The 17,289-nt window shown below is 38.2% G+C and overlaps 1 protein-coding gene across 9 annotated transcripts in view, besides 1 other annotated feature; it reads left to right on the top strand.

The window, feature by feature from the left end:
• AHCTF1 (AT-hook containing transcription factor 1) overlaps positions 1–17,289 on the top strand; it is a 92,851-nt gene that overhangs the window by 53,864 nt on the left and 21,698 nt on the right. For all 9 annotated transcript variants that reach the window (NR_136586.2, NM_001323343.2, NM_001323342.2 and 6 more), the window contains exons 22-29: positions 783–927; positions 1,004–1,135; positions 1,898–2,048; positions 10,274–10,424; positions 10,734–10,841; positions 13,969–14,161; positions 15,932–16,126; positions 16,790–17,186. Coding sequence is in view for 8 of the 9 variants with exons in the window: in NM_001323343.2 (NP_001310272.1) it covers positions 783–927; positions 1,004–1,135; positions 1,898–2,048; positions 10,274–10,424; positions 10,734–10,841; positions 13,969–14,161; positions 15,932–16,126; positions 16,790–17,186 (1,472 nt within the window). In the remaining variant the exon portion in view is untranslated. The remainder of the gene's footprint in view (positions 1–782; positions 928–1,003; positions 1,136–1,897; positions 2,049–10,273; positions 10,425–10,733; positions 10,842–13,968; positions 14,162–15,931; positions 16,127–16,789; positions 17,187–17,289) is intronic.
• Positions 1,332–1,532: a silencer, noted in NCBI's record as "peak825 fragment used in MPRA reporter construct". NCBI's record gives its function as "represses an SCP1 promoter by STARR-seq MPRAs in K562 erythroleukemia cells {active_cell/tissue: K562}" and the evidence as "EXISTENCE:reporter gene assay evidence [ECO:0000049][PMID:32103011]".

Here is a 17,289-nt window from a genome sequence, read left to right as displayed (position 1 = left end):
CAATTTTTGCTGGTGTTTCTGTAGACTGTATTCTTTGCATTGGGATCATTGGGTCAAGACCTATATTTAATTATAATTTTTATAGATATGCTCAAGTGAACCTTCAAGATAATCCTGTCGGTGGGGTATGAGTTGAACACTGGCATTAAAAAAAATAAAAATAAATAAATAACAGTAAAAAAATTCTCCTACCTGATTCTGGAAGACTTCTGTGTAAGAAACACTCCTTCATTTAAATGATCTTATGGCCCACAAAGGACATCTTAGCACCTCTGCATGGTGTCTGAGACTGCCAAATTTAACTCAGGTTCTCCAATCTGATCTTGCTGCAAATCAACCAAAAAACATCTACTACCAAGCTCTACTCTTCCCTTCCTCATGGACACAGCGTGCTTGTTTCCATCTATAGATCTCAGTCTTTCGCACGCTTCCCACTGAGTGTCACTTCTTAAAAACCTGATGTTCCTCTGTCACACCACACCAACCATTCAGCTCTATCCAGGCCACATTAGTTTTTTGTCTTCTTTGAATTTTTGTCTACTTTGCTTTTTTATTATTTTATATCTAAAAAGCAGCATAAAATTCTTTAAACGTGTCATTTTACTGACATTCTTAGCAAGATTATTATGCAGTACTTAGTATTCAACAAATTTTTAAAGTACTTTTCAATTATTTATAAAGATACTTTACAAAGTATCTTTGAAATTCTACATGTAGATTTCTTGTTTTGTACATTTAAATAGCTTTTTCTAAAACTAAACTTTGATAAATACTGCTTTCAGGTGTATGGTTGAAGCCTGGAATTTTTTGCGGCAACATTGCAATAGGTTGAATATAGAGGAGTTACTGAAGCACATGTATGAAGTCTGTCAGGAAATGGGCTTGATGGAAGATTTACTGAAGTTACCATTTACAGACACTGAGCAGGTAATTACTTACCGATGTAAACTTGTCAGAAATTCAAGATAAATTGGTAGTTTACAATCTATTTTGTTCTTTTTAGGAATGTTTAGTGAAATTTTTGCAGTCCAGTGCCAGCGTTCAGAATCATGAATTCCTTTTAGTGCACCATTTGCAGCGTGCCAATTATGTGCCTGCCTTGAAGCTGAACCAAACTCTGAAGATTAATGTTATGGTACGATTAAAGTTGTCTTATTATGGGGGATAAGAGAATAAGGAAAACTGGAGGCTTTTTTGGTTGTTATATAAGAGCTTACAGTTTGGTAACCACTGTGCCTAGCATTACCTTGAACTTGGAGAATCCTCAGTTCATCTCTGTAACAGAATTGGGAACAGGGTATTACCACGTAATTCTTTTACGTATGCCATTTATGTTCTGATGTCTGCCTACAATATTGCCATTTCACTCAGGGAAAACAAGAGGAAGATGTAGAGGCCAGCAGTAGGAGTTACATAGTACAAAGATCATTGTGTGGTAGAGGAAGACGTAGAGGCCAGCAGTAAGGGTTATATAGTACAAAGATCATTGGACTTCAAGGGTCAGACTAATTCTTCATTTACTCTGTGTGCTTGGGACACACTCTGAGTCTTGCTTTTATCAACTGTAAAATGATAAAATCTCCTTGTGAGGTTGTTTTGAGGATGCACAGAGATGTGTGTGAAGTAGAATGTTGCCTGACACATGGATGCTTAATAACCATTGTTTTTATTAATTGTGAAGAATCAAGGCTTGGTAGCGAGATTTGGAATTTATTGATGGGTAAGGATTGATAAAAAAATTAGATATGTGGATGAAGTTCTTGGTTTGGAAAAATGGATATGTAGGTAGGGGGAAGATTTTTTGGATATTCATAGTTTTATTTTAAATGGTAAATATAGAATTACAGCACCTAACATTTTGAAGGTTAAATTTTTTACCAATTTTGATGTTTAATAGAATGATCGTGATCCTCGTTTGCGGGAGAGATCACTGGCTCGAAATTCTATATTAGACCAGTATGGAAAAATCCTTCCTAGAGTCCATCGAAAATTAGCCATTGAACGAGCTAAGCCTTATCATCTGTCAACATCATCAGTTTTTCGATTAGGTAAGAATTTCATTGAAGAATATCATAATCTATTGGATCAAAAAAGATACTGAATGATTACTTTTCTGAAACCACCTTAAATTTAGCTACTTTCGCTAACACATACAGGCATGCCTTGGAGATATTGCTGGTTTGGTTCCAGATCACTGCAATGAAGTGACTATCACGAGAAAGCTAGTCCTCTGAAGTTTTGGTTTCCCATTGCATAATGTTTACACTATACTTCTAAGTGTGCAGTAGCATTATTCTTAAAACCAGTGTACATACCTTAATTTTGAAATGCAATATTGCTAAAAAATGCTAAGGATCATCTGAGCCTTCTGTGAGTCGTAATCCTTTTGCTAATAAAGGATCTTGTCTCAATGTTGATGGCTGCTGACTGATCAGCATGGTGACTACTGAAGGTTGAGGTGGCTGTGACAGTTTCTTACGATGACACAGTGAAGTTGGCCATGTCAATTTACTCTTCCTTCCACTAGAGTTTCTCTGTAGCATGTGATACCATTTGATAGCATTTTAGCCATAGAACTTCTTTCAAAATGAGTCACTCCTCTCAAACCCTGCCTCTGCCCTGTCATCTTAAGTTTATGTAATTTTCTAAATGCCTAGTGAGTAACAAACTACTCTACAAGAAGGCAGGTTTTGGTCAATCGGACTTTTTATTATTTGGCTTCTAAGTAAGGAGGACAACACCGGGGAGGATTCTCCAAAGCAGTGTCCAGCTGAGGGAAGGTGACAGGAGGGTTTTATGGAGAGGGGAGAGGTTGTGTCATTGTATGTAAGGGAGTGTCCAGCTGAGGGAAGGTGACAGGAGGGTTTTATGGAGAGGGGAGAGGTTGTGTCATTGTATGTAAGGGAGTGGTCCCAGTTGTGTAGACTTAGTTACTATGTCAGTATATAGGTCGCATGTCATGGTAAGGAAGTCGTAGCACCTCCTGGGGTGGAGACTTCAGTATGGTGGTAAAGAAAGTTCATTCTGGTTTATCTATAATATAAGTTGTTGGCCTGTCAGGAGATGGTTTTAACAAAGTAGGTGACTAATATTTTACATGGGGTTTAGGAAGAAACTGGCTAAATAGCAGGAGGCTGTAAAACAGGCTGATTGTTGATTAAATTTCTATAATCCTGGGAGACTCTGTCTGTTTACAAATTTTCCCCCTAGAAGTATGTCACTCCTCATTCTTGAGGGCTGAGAGCCGGAGGTCAGGTTTTTTTGTAACTTTTTAATGTTGTTCAGGGATATGTGTCTGGAGATGTTAAAGGAGTGAAAATTTTTAGATGCTAAATTTAAATATATTTCAGGATCTCTCAGGATAGGTTGTAATGGCTGGTATTGTAGTAAGACCAGCTGTAGTTGAATTTTTTTTAATTTGGAAGATACAAGTTTTATTGAGAGGTTCAAGACGTAGGGATAAGTTAATGTTAAACAGGGTGAAGGGAAGGAATCCAAGGCAGCCTGGCAGTGGGTTTTATATTTTTTTGGGTGGCCGTTTCATGACCACCATGTCAAGTTGGTTAGAAAAATGAGCCACCACCCTTTTTAGTGGTCCTAGCATTTGGGTAAGTGCTCCCCCAGCTAGCTGTTCCCTTCCTTTTATGGGACAGATAAGTCAAAAGGTTTAGCAAGTTAAGCAAGGCTACAGTGGGAGCAGCAGTCACTTTTTGTTTGCTTGGCATGTAGAGGAATACATGCCTCAGAGGGACACGTATTTGTCTGAAGATAGAGACATTTAATAGTTAATGTTATTTGGCTTTAGGTGTCATCTTTATGCAAGGGAGACAGAGGCCCACCTCAAAGATGGTCTCAGTCTCTTTAGTCAGCTGAAATTTTATCGTAATTTGTTGGCATGTCTACTTGTATATACTAGAAACTGGAGTTTGGCACCCTTTGTCATGAGTTTTATTTAGTGGGTTGTCTCTAATATTAAAAAAGATTATAAAATACTAAATATTTTTAATAATAAAATATTAATGGTGATTGTGTCAGGACAGGAGTGAGTTGTATTGAGGTGGCAGGTGGCAGTGTCAGAAGCAGCAAGCGGGTACCTCCCTGTTGGGTCAGATCTTATGTCAGCGTAGTAAGTCTGTGTTGGACGAATATCCTAGTGCCTGTATGTATGTTTCACCTATCGTTGAATAGTTTAGTAGGACTTATACAGTAAGTAGTATTTACTATACATGTGTTAGTCAAGGTGACACAGGGAACGTTTTTGTGGAGGGGATAACTGCAGGAAAGGGGAGCTTGCTCCAGTTTTGTGGGGTGAAAGTGAAGTTTGGGGTCACCACAAATTGCATGGCTTGGACAGGCTAGGCTTGTGGGTGTCTCTAGTATATTCAGTATAGGACAGATTCTTTCCCTTTGCTGTGATGCAAGAGAAATCGACTTAGTGTATTGTCTCTAGTATATTTAGTATTGGGACAGATTCTTTCCCTTTGCTATGATGCAGGAGAAATTGACTAGTGTATTGTCTCTAGTATATTTATTATTGGGACGGATTCTTTCCCTTCACTGTGATGCAGGAGAAATTGACTAGTGTATTGTCTCTAGTACATTTAGTATTGGGACGGATTCTTTCCCTTCGCTATGATGCAGGAGAAATTGACTAGTGTATTGTCTCTAGTATATTTAGTATTGGGACGGATTCTTTCCCTTTGCTGTGATGCAGGAGAAATTGACTAGTGAATTGTCTTTCCAGAGACCATCAGCCACAGTAATAAAAGGGACTAAACAGCACAGGGAGAAAGAGTCTATTTTTTTATATGGTGATTTATCACCGGTTAAGATTTTTTTCTTTTACAGAAGAGTAATGAGTATAGAGAGTTCTATAAGGGAGAAAGTTTGAATATATCAAGAGTATGGCAAGGGCACATTTACTTAACATGTAATATCCCTTCCCCAGAAGAGAAGCTTGAGATCAGAGACTGGCTTATAGGAATAAGTCGAACCTAGTAGCGCCTGATCTGAGGGCTCTGGTGCAGGATTCACTCAGGAATGATGGCTTTTAGGGTCTGAGCCCCTGAAACTTAGGAGAAGAGTGAGTGCTTAATAATACATGGTCCAAACAGTTTAGTTGGTCTGGAGGCGATTTGGATTTTTGAGTCTTAAGGTGAACCCGGTCTCTAGGTTAATATGGGTGAAGCTTAACCTCAGTGGGAACTAGAAGTTTGTGGTTTCACATGTTTTAAGAGTTTGTATTTTTAAAAATCTACAGCATGTTTTACTGCCCTCTTGGTCTCGACAGCAGCACACTTCGAAGGTTCAATCATGCCAAGCAAGCTCTTCTATATAGTGATTGGAAAGGGCCAAGTCCCATTCCCTTTCAGCACCCATGATAGTGCGATGGGAAGGAGCTTTAGTCAGTTTTTGAGTTTCCTGGCATAGTTTGGCTAGCGTGATCCTTATGTTTTATTACTATGCTTGACCTTTTTAGATGAATGAGGTTTCTTAAGTTATGTGTAACCTCCTCTATTTAATTTCCAAGGCAGAGGACACCCCCTAAGTAACTTTGTAAATGAAGGCAGTTCTGTTGTCACTCTGGATTGGTTGGAGTAAGCCAGAACCTCAAGATGATGTCTTTGAGTAAAGCTCTGACCACCTCATTTGTCTTTTTGTGTGTGACAAGGGTGTATCCCTTTTATTTAGCCAGTAAAGGTGTCTACACTAGTAGGTACCTGAAGTTTTTGGGTCCTGGGGCATCACTGTAAAGTCTTCTTGTCAGTCTTTTCCTGGCGTGCCACCCCAGCTGGACAGCTTGGGTTAGTGGAGTCACAAGGGAGCCCGATCTGAGTATTATTTTGTACAAATTGGAGACACCTGTTAGATCCTTGATCTGTTTTATCTTTTAGATCAGGTATCTTTAGTAACTAATTGCGTAAGGTTTGTTTTGTTTTGTTATTTACCATAATGTGATGATCTATGACCATATTTAGTTAGAGACCACCCTAGGTTTTTGGGAATCTAGGTTCTTTTTTTTTTTTTTTTTTTGTCATTAATAGTTCATCTTTCTGAATCTAAGTGTGGAAAATACCCTTTGCGTTTGGCTTTAACTCCTGAGGTGAACACTGAGGCTGGGACTTGTGGAGTAGGATGTCTGGGATCAGGGTCATTTGTAAAGTTCACATGTTTGTGTTGTCTTTTTAGTAGCTGTGTCTTTAGGTTGTTATTATTTTTTAATAACCTCAAATTTTTATTTTTTATTTTTTTGTGACCCTGGCAGTAGGCCACTGCTACCCTTTTAGGTAGCTATACTGCTGCCTCTAATAGCTGTAATGTTTTTAATATTATTAACCTCCTTATAGTCTGCAGTCAGGAGGCCTCAAAAAAAAATGCACTGTAGGCATGGATTACAGAGAAAGCATACTTAGAGTCTGTGGAGACATGATGGCCTTAGCCTGTCCTGAAGATGAGGCTCATCTAGTCAGGGTTCACAGAGGTAGGCTGTTAGCCTCTTTAACTCCAAGTGAGGACAGCACTGTATACCTTGTTTTTCTGGGCCCCTTTCTGTGATGTTACTCTGATTTACGAAGAAAGGCTTTGTTAACTTGAGAGTTCTGAAAGGGTTTGTTTTTTAGGTCCTTTTGACTAGAATACATTTTATCAGTAGTGGTTGAGTATTTGTGTGGGAGCAGTTCCTGGGAGGTGGAAAGAAACATGGCAGGGTTAAGTAAGGATCTGGCACACCTTGATGTGGCTGCCTCTTAATTTAACTTTTTATTGTAACATCCTCCCATCAGTAAGCGAGTGGTGTCTCTGTTTTTAGCACTCTGGATAACTGAGGACCTAGACCATTAATGTCTGAGTCATGGTTTGTTTTTAAGCTTTTCTCACTAATAGGCAAGTAGTAACCACTGTCCTAAGACATGGGGGCCTTTTGGTGGCCACCATGTCAAGTTGGTTAGAAAAAAATGAGCCACCACCTTTTTTAGTGGTCCTAGCATTTGGGTAAGTGCTCCCCTGGCTAGCTGTTCCCTGCCTTTTATGAGACAGATAAGTCAAAAGGTTTGGCAACTTAAGCAAGGCTACAGTGGGAGCGCAGTCACTTTTTGTTTGCTTGGTTGTTTTTAGTTTTTCGAAGGCTCAGTTGTATTGTTTGTCTTCTTTAAAAGGGTCTGACTCCAGCTCTTGTAGCTTTTTATAAAAAGGCTTTGTTAAAATACCCGAATTGGGAATTTATATGTGACAGAATCCGGCCATTTTCAAGAATTTTTGGTTCTGAGGAGGAGGTATTTGATACACAGCCATTTTCCTGTCCTGGGAAGGACACCCCTGTCCCTGAGAAATTAAATAGCCTAGGGCTTTTTTTTTTTTTTTTTGAGGTTTTATACCCTCTTTTAGCTAGAAAGTTTAGGGTACAGTATTTATACTAGATTCCTCTTTAGAGGAGCTAGTAATTAAAATATTGCTTACATATTATACTTTTCTCTTTTAAATGTAAAATTCCTATAATCCCTGGAGACCCTCTATCTGTTTACACTTTATCATTTCAACACTGTAGATTCTGTCTCAAGAAACCACTTGTTTGCCTATCTGTAAGAAGCAATTCCTCATTTATTCATGTTTTATCATGAGATTACAGCAATTCATCACATCTTTAGTCTGTTTTTGTTTTTTTAAGAGACAAGGTCTTTGTCTGTCACAGATGCTCTAGTACAGTGGTATAATCATAGCTCATTGTAGCCTTGACCTTCTGAGCTCAAGTGATCCTCCTGCCTCAGCTTTCCGAGTGGCTGAGACTGCAACCGTGCCTGGGTATTTTTTGTAGAGAGGGCCTCACTATGTCGCCCAGGCTATTCTCAAACTCATGGCCTCAAGTGATCCTCCCACCTTGGCCTCCAAAAGTACTGGGATTACAGGCATGAGCCATCATGCCTGGCCTAGGCTCTGCTTCTCATTCTAGTTCTCTTGCTCTTTCCCCCATATCTGCAGTTGTTTTCTCCACTGAAGTCTTGAAGCCCTCAAAAGTTATTCATGAAAGATGGAATCACCTTCTTACAAACTCCTTTTAATGTGCATAGTTTGACTCCTCCCAGGAATTATGAATGTGCTGAATGGCATCTAGAATGGTGAATCCTTTCCAGAAGGTTTTCAAAGGACTTTGTTCGGATCTCTCAGAGGAATCACTATCTGTGACAGCTATAGCTTTATGAAATGTATTTCTAAATTATATCTTGAAAATTGCGATTACTGTGATCCAGGGTTACAGAATGGATGTTGTGTTTTCATGCCTGCTAACAGCATTCGTCTCCCTGTACATCATCAGGGCTCCTGGGTGACCAGGGGCATTATCAGTGAGCAGTAATATTTGAAAAGACTTTTTTTTTTTTCTGAACAGTTCTCAACAGTAGGCTTAAAATATTCGGTAAACCATGCTGTCAACAGATGTGTTTTCATCTAGGCTTTTTCCATTGATAGAAGACAGGCATAGTAGATTTCCCATCATTTTTAAGGGCCTTAGGAATTTTGGAATGGTGATTGCCTTTAATTTAAAGTCATCAGCTACATTAACCACTAACAGCAGAGTCACCCTGTCCTTTGAAGCCAGGCATTGACTTCTCCATTCATGTGTTCACTGACGTAGCACTTTTAATTTCCTTCAGGTTCTTTTTTGCATTTACAACTTGGCTAACTGGCATAAGAGGTCTAGCTTTTGATTTAAAGTCCTAGACATGTGACTCCTCCTTTCACATGAACACTTGAGGTCTTTGTAGGGTTATTAGTTGGCTTTGGATATTGTCAGTCTCAAGGAATAAGGGAGGTCCTCGGGGAAAGGGAGAGACGCGGGGGAACAGTTAGTCAGTGGAGTAAGTACACGCTGTTGGAAAAATGGTGCCAGTAGACTTGCTGGACACAGGGTTGCCACAGACCTTCAATTTGTTTAAAAAAACAAAACACACGGCCGGGCGTGGTGGCTCACGCCTGTAATCCAGCACTTTGGGAGGCCAAGGCGGGCGGATCACGAGGTCAGGAGATCGAGACCATCCTGGCCAACATGGTGAAACCCCGTCTCTACTAAAAATAGAAAAAGTTAGCCAGGCATGGTGGCGGGCGCCTGTAGTCCCAGCTACTCAGCAGGCTGAGGCAGGAGAATGGCGTGAACCCGGGAGGCAGAACTTGCAGTGAGCCGAGATCACACCACTGCACTCCAACCTGGGTGACAGAGCGAGACTCCATCTCAAAAAAAAAAAAAAAACAAAAAACACACACACAATGAAGCAAAGCACAATAAAATGAGGTAGACCTGTACTCATTCATCACGTGGTACTTTTTTATTGGCTGCTCTGTAACCCAAGAAATGTAAGCCTTTCTTAGAAGATTTGACTGTTTATTTACTAGTGTATGCATAATGAAAGAACTCCTATTTCAGTTGAAGGCACATGTCCAACTTCTAGAAAACACAAAGAATAACTTTTTTTTTTTTTTTTTTTACCACTTACCAAAAGCCCAACTTCCTAAATCCAGCATAGCTATAATGAAACAAAATGTAGGCCAGGCCGGTGGCTCACACCTCTATCCCAGCACTTTGAGAGGCCGAGGAGGGAGGATCACTTGAGGCCCGGAGTTTGAGACCAGTCTGGCCAACATGGTGAAACCCTGTCTCTACTAAAAATACAAAAATTGCCAGGCGCAGTGGCTCACGCCTGTAATCCCAGCACTTTGGGAGGCCAAGGCGGGTGGATCACATGAGGTCAGGAGTTCAAGACCAGCCTGGCCAACATGGTGAAACCCTTTACTTTAGAATACAAAAATTAGCGTGGTGGCACATTCCTGTAGTCCCAGCTACTCGGGAGGCTAAGGCAGGAAAATCACTTGAGTCTGGCAGGCAGAGGTTGCAGTGAGCCAAGATTGTGCCACTGCACTCCAGCCTGGGCTACAGAGCAAGACTCCGTCTCAAAAAAAAAAAAAAAAAATTAGCCGGGCTTGGTGGCCATGCCTGTAATCCCATCTACTTGGGAGGCTGAGGCAGGAGAATCGCTTGAACCCAGGAGGCAGAGGGTGCAGTGAGCCGAGATCATGCCACTGCCCTCCAGCTTGAGTGACACAGCAAGACTGGTCTAAAAGAAAAAAAATTAATTATATATATATAATTAAAATTTTTAGCTAGTATTACCACGTAATGTGTGTGTGTGTGTGTGTGGGGGGGGGGGTGTAATCATTCTTTCATATGCTTTTATTAAATTCCCGTTTGTTAGAGATGCACTTAATTCCAGCGTTCTTCATTTTACAGTTTCTAGACCCAAACCATTATCAGCAGTTCCAAAGCAAGTTGTAACAGGAACTGTGTTGACAAGATCTGTTTTCATCAACAATGTGTTATCTAAAATTGGAGAAGTTTGGGCAAGCAAAGAACCTATAAATAGCACCACACCTTTCAATAGGTATGTTTTCTTACACGTTTCATAGTCATGCTGCTTGTTAATCTTTACTGGACATCAACAGCGTTCATCAACAATCCACTCTCTTTGCCTAAGTTTATTAGTGTATGTAAAAAAGAAAAACTCTTTATGTTGGCTATGTTTCTGAGAAGAATTTTTAAAAACCTTTAAAAGTGAAATGTTCATTATTATTTGTAAGCAATGCAGAACTGTACAAAGTAAAACGAATGAAAACCCTCTGTTCTCCCATCTCATCCACTTGTTATCAGTGCTCCTTGTGATACATCAGAAGTTAAATTTTTATTTTCATAGTTCTAAAATAGAAGAACCATCTCCTATAGTGTATTCGCTCCCAGCTCCAGAGCTGCCTGAGGCATTTTTTGGAACACCAATTTCAAAAGCATCACAAAAAATTTCTAGGTAAGAGTTTATTAAATCATTCTTAGAGACACAATGTTAGATGATAGTTACAATTGTAATTTTTAATTATCTTTAACATTTTATAGACTTTTAAATTATTAAATGAATATTTTAATGTTTGCTTTTTATTATACTTTGGGCAGCAGTAATTTTAGGAAATTTTACATCAGGTAGTAGTATACTTAAAATTTTTGTTCAATAATTTCAGACTGCTTAGTGGACAGGAGTGAAGTTTGTCTCATGAGCAAACTATTAACTTACTTTCCTTGTTACCTGCTTGTTAGTAGACCTCTAAATGAGGGTTGTTTTTATACTTAATTACAGATTAATCTTGGGTAGCTCATTGAAGCTTTCTTCTGTTGAACAGTGCCTACTAAAATGTCTTGTGTTGCTTCAGATGCAGCACGTTTACATCTTACCTGTGGTGTTAAGTTGAAGTTTTGTATCCAAGATGAAATTGTGATTGCAAGTATTTACTTACGAGCATTGGTTAGTTGAAAAGTGTTCATAATTATGTACCACAGAGAACAGAGTATGTCTCTTCATGTATTGATTCTTTGTCCTTAATATGCCCAGGATCTTTGGAAATTTTTGATTGTTTTATCAAAGACAAAATTACATTGTTTAAAGTATTTATAATGATTATAAATAATCATTACAAGACTCTGAATTTTTGATGCTAAGAAAAAGATACTTGAGATAAGGTCATACAAACAACTGAGGCCAGAAGTACAGAGTGTAGTTTAATGGACATATGTTAAACCTTGAAAGGATTTTTCTTTTTTTGGACTAAATTTAGTTAGGTTGTTTCCCTTTATTTACTCTGGTAAGATGGTATTTTAAATGGAAAGAAGATATTTTAAATGAAAGTCGTTATTACCGACATTCTTTTTTTCTACCAATAGTTCGGATTTTTTTTTCTGCAAGTCCCCTTTTCTTGGTCTTTTTGTAATTTAATGGCTCTGAGGTTGCGGGGAGCAATAATAGAAGTTGAAAGGCCTTTGATTAATGGCCTGAGGCCCTTAAAGAAGTATTATGAGCATTTTTTAAAGCCAGTGTTAACTCAGATGTAAGAGAGCCAGTTGAGTTTTGAATATTTACCTTCTGTGTTTTTCATGCTGAGTTTGCATTACTGGGTAGACAGTATAGCCTGCAATGAAATAAGGCAGAATAGATAACATCCGTGGGTACATCATATAGTAAGGCTGAAGTGCTAATTTATGTAATTGATGTTTTATTTTTATGTGATATAGGATGCATTCTTTATATGGATTATGGTAAAAAAAAATTAGCTCTAACAAGTAAAAAGTTACATAAATCAATTTTTTAAATACCACTATAGATTTTTGAAAATAACCTTGCAGATAGTAATGAAATCAGAAAAGGTTAGTTCTGAAAGAATATTTGGTCTCAGGGTTGAAGACCTGAGACCTAATGCAATATTTAACATTTCATTTAGAAAATACCTTAAAAAGATTTCTCAGAACCTTTAAACTATTAAGTCTTGATGATACAGAAGTTTTGCTTTGACTTGGTAGGTAGCTTTTGTTGCACAGTCCTTGCTTTTGAGAAGCATTCATTCATAAATAGGTGCCTTAAACATAAATATTAACACAATGCAAAACATTTAACAGTGTTCCTTTGGGATAGCTCAGTATAAAAGTGAGCAAACTGTTTTCCAAGTTTGGATCGAATCCAAGTACAGAATTTAAATGCAAACAAGATAGAGAAAGAAGAGAATCTAGAAGAAAAGAAATGTCTAGCAGCCTGATTGGATATTCTTGGTTTGGTGGAAATCTAAAAGCTGTGTTTGATACAGAGTAACAAGTGGGAAGACATTGAAATATTTCCCCATTATCACCTGTGTTGGTCTACCGCTCCTAATAGCAAAACTCTCATTTGATAGATAGAATGACAAGGAAGGTACTGCAACTACAAGTTTTTATTTCTGGGCTCCAAAGCATACTCTCCTTTTCTGGTTATTCTCAGGTGAGCCACTTTGGCATTTGGGGGAAATAAAAAGGGATTGTTTTTACCACTAGGAAATACAACCATAAGATAGACTGTTTATTAGGAAATCGAGAAGAGAGTGACCTGTGCAAATGGTCCACCAAAAATTACCACCTGAAAACCCGACTTTTGAGTTTAAATTTATCTGTAAATTAAGCTTTAAAACTTACTTGGATTATACATGCTCAGTACAAGTAATCAGTGGGATCAGTTTTATCATTGGGACTAGGACATTACGGAAAACCTTGTAGTAGAATCTTAAAGTTGTACTTTGTCACCAAACTCATTGACTTGAAAAAATTAACTTTTGGTTGTGGTGGTGGGTGTGGGTTGTCAGTCTAGTCTTTTTTTTTTTTTTTTTTTTTTTTTTTTTTTTTTTTTTTTTTTGAGACGGAGTCTCGCTCTGTCGCCCAGGTCGGACTGCGGACTGCAGTGGCGCAATCTCGGCTCACTGCAAGCTCCGCTTCCCGGGTTCACGCCATTCTCCTGCCTCAGCCTCCCGAGTAGCTGGGACTACAGGCGCCCGCCACCGCGCCCGGCTAATTTTTTTTTTTGTATTTTTAGTAGAGACGGGGTTTCACCTTGTTAGCCAGGATGGTCTCGATCTCCTGACCTCATGATCCACCCGCCTCGGCCTCCCAAGTCAGTCTAGTCTTTATTGTAATCAGAACCATAAAGGCAAAATGAACCAATATTCATTATATATATTACATGTAGGTGAATGGATATTTTGCATGTTAATGAATTTTAGTAAATAGATTGCCAGGGAAGCCTTGTCCTGTTTTCTTTAGTATTTTAAATCATTGGCAGTTCATCTTCATTTGAAAATAAATGCCAGGCACATAGTAAGAGCTCAGTAAATATAGGTAAAGGGAAGGAGGACGACGCAAACTCTTTTTAAAAATCAGTTGCTATGTGCAGTTCTTAATTCTGTTTTGCGATGAATAATTTTCTGACTTTTTGAATGCATGGTAGCACTTTGGATTACATTAATATACTTGACTGTATTTGCATGTGGCTATCATAGTTACCAGTGAATATAGAGGTCTGATTAAATGGGATACTAAATTCTTTTGTTTTTTCAGTATAACTCAATAAATGCGCATTCTGATTACAGACTGCTAGATTTGGTTGTTCAGCCTGTCCCCCGGCCTTCTCAGTGTTCGGAGTTTATTCAGCAAAGCTCCATGAAATCTCCTTTGTACCTAGTATCCCGTTCACTGCCCTCAAGTTCGCAATTAAAAGGATCGCCTCAGGCCATCTCCAGGGCTTCAGAATTACATTTGCTTGAAACTCCTCTTGTAGTTAAGGTTAGTATTTACGCATCTAGCGTTCACAATCAAACTAGATGGCTCTTACTTTTCAAGTAGCAAGGAGAAAAATAAGCAATTTATAACTGATACGCTTGGGGAGTGCTGGGAAATGCTTTAAGCATCCTTTTATGTTTTCACATCTTCTAAAAACGGAGCTAATTAAATTTATCCCTTCCTGCTTAAAGTTAACATTATTTTCTTAAAGGTAATATAGGGTTCTGTGTGGTTGTGAATTTGCCTTTGTCCTTTGTAATACTTTCAGGTTCTTGAGTTTGTTTTTATTTCATTTTTATGTAAGCTCCATTTCTGATATCATTATGCTGTTATTTCTTCTATCAAATGCTATTTAGTTCTTTGGTTTATTTGTATTTATTTAAATTCTTTGACAAAACTGTTACTCCTTGCTACTTTGGTTTATCCCTCTTTAAACTGCCTTTTCCCATCTCCTAAGTTATTAGCTGAGAAATCACAGCACTCAACTTGTGATATCTGCTAGTGGTGGCCTTTTTAAACCTTTCCATTTTTAAAGTTTTGTTTTTTTTTTTTTAAACATACTATCTCCCTAGCCCCTTGACTAATGTTCTGGATTGAAACCCAGAAGCTTTATTTCTCCCTCACCCCTCCCCATTGTCCCTGGGTTCTCTGTTTGGATATCCAGCATTTATAGTGAAGCTAGGGAATCCTTATTTTTCAAGTTGAATAAAAGATACCTCAATAAGTGCTCTTCCTAAAATACTTATTAAAATAAGTTGAAAAGATTAGGTTTCAATAATTTAAAATATTCAGTATAGTATTTTTTCATTTGTCAAAAATAAATCACACTTTGTATTCTCTACAGCTAGGTTCAAATGAAATGAAATTGGAGGAATTTTATACCTGCTGCCAGAATAGTCTAGAAAAAAGAATTGTTATGATCTTGTAACATGTCTAACAGAATTTATTATGATCTAATGGGATTCAGTAATTTGTTTACTAGGCCTTTAGAGGCCAAGTGAAGGAATTATCTCTACTAAATAAATTTACATGCTAATTTCAGATTATTTGTATTCATTATACGAAATCTTCAGAGGATTCTGATACATAATTTGGTTATTATTGGATTCGTGTGACGAAATTTTTTTTCTGAAACACTACAGTCAGTCTTACTGTAGTTTTCTGTAATTAGATTTGTATAATTCTATAATTTAAGTAATTTATCTTACTAATTGGCACTTTTTTAGTTGAATTTAAGTTGGAAATAATGCTTTTAGAAAGATGGATGCAGTTTTATGTTTCGTAGACTTACGTATAAAAAGCTCTGGAAGAATTTTGTATTTTCTTTGCAGAAATCTGGAATAAATATTTCTATTGATATGTTTATTGGAGATGAGATGAGAATATAACCACTATTGTGACTCAGTTGACCCCATCTGTTTTTATATAAGCACTTTTTTTTTTTTTTGAGACGGAGTCTTGCTCTGTCGCCCAGGCTGGAGTGCAGTGGCGCAATCTCGGCTCACTGCAAGCTCCACCTCCCGGGTTCATGCCATTCTCCTGCCTCAGCCTCCCAAGTAGCTGGGACTACAGGCGCCCGCCACCCCGCCTGCCTAATTTTTTGTATTTTTAGTAGAGACGGGGTTTCACCGTGTTAGCCAGGATGGTCTCGATCTCCTGACCTGGTGATCCGCCTGCCTCTGCCTCCCAAAGTGCAGGGATTACAGGCGTGAGCCACCGCGCCCGGCCTATAAGCACTTTTAATGGTGTAATTCCATTTGCTCTTTACTATAGAAAGCTAAAAGTTTGGCCATGTCAGTTACTACTTCTGGATTTTCTGAGTTCACTCCTCAGTCCATCCTGAGGTCTACTCTTCGATCAACACCTTTAGCATCTCCCTCTCCATCACCTGGAAGGTCTCCTCAACGACTTAAAGAAACTAGAATTTCATTTGTGGAAGAAGATGTCCACCCAAAATGGATTCCTGGGGTAAGTTTGATAATAATTGGGAGAAAAGACATTTTTTAATAAGAATGTATTAGCTCTGACAAGTAAAAAGTTAGATAAATCAAGTTTTTAAATACCACTATAGATTTTTGTATATAATCTTGTAGCTAGTAATGAAATAAGAAAAGGTTAGTTCTGAAAGAAACACTAGGGCCATTGGCTAAGCCAAACCCATCATCTTACAGATAAATAGGACTCGGAAGCACCAAGTAAGTTGGCTGTAGTCAGCTAGATGTATGGTGGTAGAATTGGGAGTAGGATTCAAACCTCCTAATTTTTAGTCCTTCTTTTATCTTTGTTTTTACCTTATATTGTGTTGTTTCTAACTAGTTATATGTTTTTGAGGGTGTGTCTTGAGGTCCACTGTAGGTTAATAGGAACCTTTCAGTGATTATTGGTCATCTAGCCTGTTCTGTGTTGTAGTCTTCTGAAAATACTGGTATATTACCAATTAGGGAAACATTAGCCACCATTAACTTTTACGTACTAGAAGAGAATGGATTTAGAATAAATGAATTTTTATTAAGGAGAGAATTTGGGTAAAAACAACAAAGAAAGTATGGGTATGATTGGGATGGGTAGCTTAGGACTAGACTTAACTGTGATATTTACTAATTTTTTTCTTTTCAAAATCTTACTTTACAGGCTGCAGATGATAGCAAATTAGAAGTATTTACTACACCTAAAAAATGTGCAGTTCCAGTGGAAACTGAATGGCTGAAGAGCAAAGATAGGACCACATCTTTTTTCCTGAACAGCCCTGAAAAGGAGCATCAAGAAATGGATGAGGGGTCACAAAGTTTAGAGAAACTGGATGTGAGCAAAGGAAACAGCAGTGTTTCAATCACATCCGATGAGACTACCTTAGAGTATCAGGATGCACCGTCACCGGAAGACCTTGAAGAGACTGTTTTCACGGCCTCTAAGCCCAAAAGCTCTTCCACTGCACTAACTACTAATGTAACTGAACAAACTGAAAAGGATGGAGATAAAGATGTATTTGCATCAGAAGTAACTCCTTCAGACCTACAGAAACAAATGGGTAAGAACTCATTTCTGAATACTCAAAATTGTTATTAATGTCCCTCAATAAAGTTTATAATAGAATTTTTTCCACCATAAGAAAAGCATCCTAGCCAGGTACT

The sequence above is a fragment of the Homo sapiens genome, chromosome 1 (assembly GCF_000001405.40).
Source record: "Homo sapiens chromosome 1, GRCh38.p14 Primary Assembly".
NCBI classification, from domain to species: Eukaryota; Metazoa; Chordata; class Mammalia; order Primates; family Hominidae; genus Homo; species Homo sapiens.
The sequence above is the reverse complement of the archived record's forward strand: the minus strand, read 5'-3'. Positions and strand labels throughout refer to the sequence as shown.